The sequence below is a fragment of the Homo sapiens genome, chromosome 16 (assembly GCF_000001405.40).
Source record: "Homo sapiens chromosome 16, GRCh38.p14 Primary Assembly".
NCBI classification, from domain to species: domain Eukaryota; kingdom Metazoa; phylum Chordata; class Mammalia; order Primates; family Hominidae; genus Homo; species Homo sapiens.
Genome location: NC_000016.10, coordinates 16,939,135 through 16,940,845, shown reverse-complemented (window position 1 = coordinate 16,940,845; position 1,711 = coordinate 16,939,135). Strand labels below are relative to the sequence as shown.

At 39.8% G+C, this 1,711-nt stretch overlaps 1 annotated feature.

Annotated features, from left to right (window-relative positions):
- Window positions 347–848: an enhancer, noted in NCBI's record as "NANOG hESC enhancer chr16:17033855-17034356 (GRCh37/hg19 assembly coordinates)". NCBI's record gives its function as "activates a minimal SCP1, AML or CMV promoter by ChIP-STARR-seq in primed H9 embryonic stem cells {active_cell/tissue: H9 hESC(primed)}" and the evidence as "EXISTENCE:reporter gene assay evidence [ECO:0000049][PMID:30033119]".

The following is a 1,711-nucleotide window of genomic DNA, read 5'->3' as shown; positions in this document are numbered from 1 at the left end:
TTACTGAAACTAACATATTATTTCAGATAACTCTACGTTCTATCTTCTGTATACATAATCCATACCCTGTGTACAACATGGTTGCCAGGGAGACCTGTCTTTAAATTGATCAGCAAACAAGTTTTAGAGGGTTGGCTTTAAAACACAAACTTACAAAGTGACTCCAAAGCCTCAGTTTAAGAGAAAATGTTCCAAGAAGTCTCACTTCGAGAAACACTTATTCTGCAACACCCAGATAAATGTTAGATAACGGACGACATTTCAGGACTTCTCGAACGTTGCCACAGAATCCCCCTCCCTGGCCGCCATCTTGTAGGACTGTGGGAGTCCTCAGCAGTCACTCAGAAACTACATTCTTTCTTCATATTCAGCACCACAGCAATGAAATTAACGGGTTGAGCATTTTCTCCTTAATAAGTGCTGCAGATATAAATGTCTCAGCCATTTGTCTTTCAGTGGGGGTTAAAAAAACAACAAAACAAACACTCCTACTATAGCATTGCATTCTCCCGTTTTGGTTAACATTATCATTTAAATTGCATCTCCCCATGTTTCTAGATTAAGGAAGAGGGGCTGTTAGAATAGGTTACACTTTGCTTTTTCATTCAGGAGACTGTTTAGAGCCTCAAATCAATTCCAACTGACTTTCTAAAATGCGTTGGGGGAAAAATACATTGTGATAAATAGTATTTGCAATGAAAATACCAAGAAGGAAAAAGAGACGTTTCTGTTCGCTTCAGCAAGAAGCCATTCAATTTGTGGACTATGCCTGTCCCTTGTTTTATTTTCCTTCCACTGGAAGGAATTTTAACCATTTCACTGCTATTAACCCATTCCAAAGTGGGCATGGGAAAATGCTGTATGTCAGAGGCTTGCTGTCTTATCAAAAAATCTGGCTCCTCAGGCTGTGTAACTTGGGGCAAGTCACCGAATGTCTTTCCACATCTCTATTTCCTCAACCGTAAAATGCATGTAATAATGAGACTTACTTTAGGTAGTTAAGAGCAGGACTTTTCAAACTCTTATAATCTGCAATAAGATACACACTTCACATTGAAACCCAGTACTCACACGCACACAAATACATACACACCTATATCCATATGCATATATGGTTTTACATACACGCACATCTGAAATTAAAATTTCACCAAATAGGAGTTATCCATATTAGAGGTGATGCATTCACATAGTTTTTATTCTTTTTCTTTTCTTTTGAGACAGAGCCTCACTTTGTCACCCAGGCTGGAGTGCAGTGGGGCAATCTCGGCTCACTGCAGGCTCGCCTCCTAGGTTCAAGGGATTCCCCTGCCTCAGCCTCCTGAGTAGCTGGGATTACAAGCATATGCCACCATGGCTGGCTAATTTTTTAGTAATTTTAGTAGAGACAGGGTTTCACCATATTGGCCAGGCTGGTCTCAAACTCCTGACCTCAAGTGATCCACCTGCCTTAGCCTCCCAAAGTGCTGGGATTGCAGGTGTGAGCCACCATGCCCAGCCACATAGTTTTTATTCTATTTCATGTTTTTAAAAAATGAGTTTTGCAACCATCTACATTGATTCTGTGACTAAATAAATCACAATATGAAGTCTGAGAAACACTGATTTAAAGTAGGCGTTAGCAAACTATGGCCAACAGCCGAAATCTGGCCAAATGACTGTTATTGTAAATAAAGTTTTATTGGAACAAGTCATACTTAGTTATTTGCCT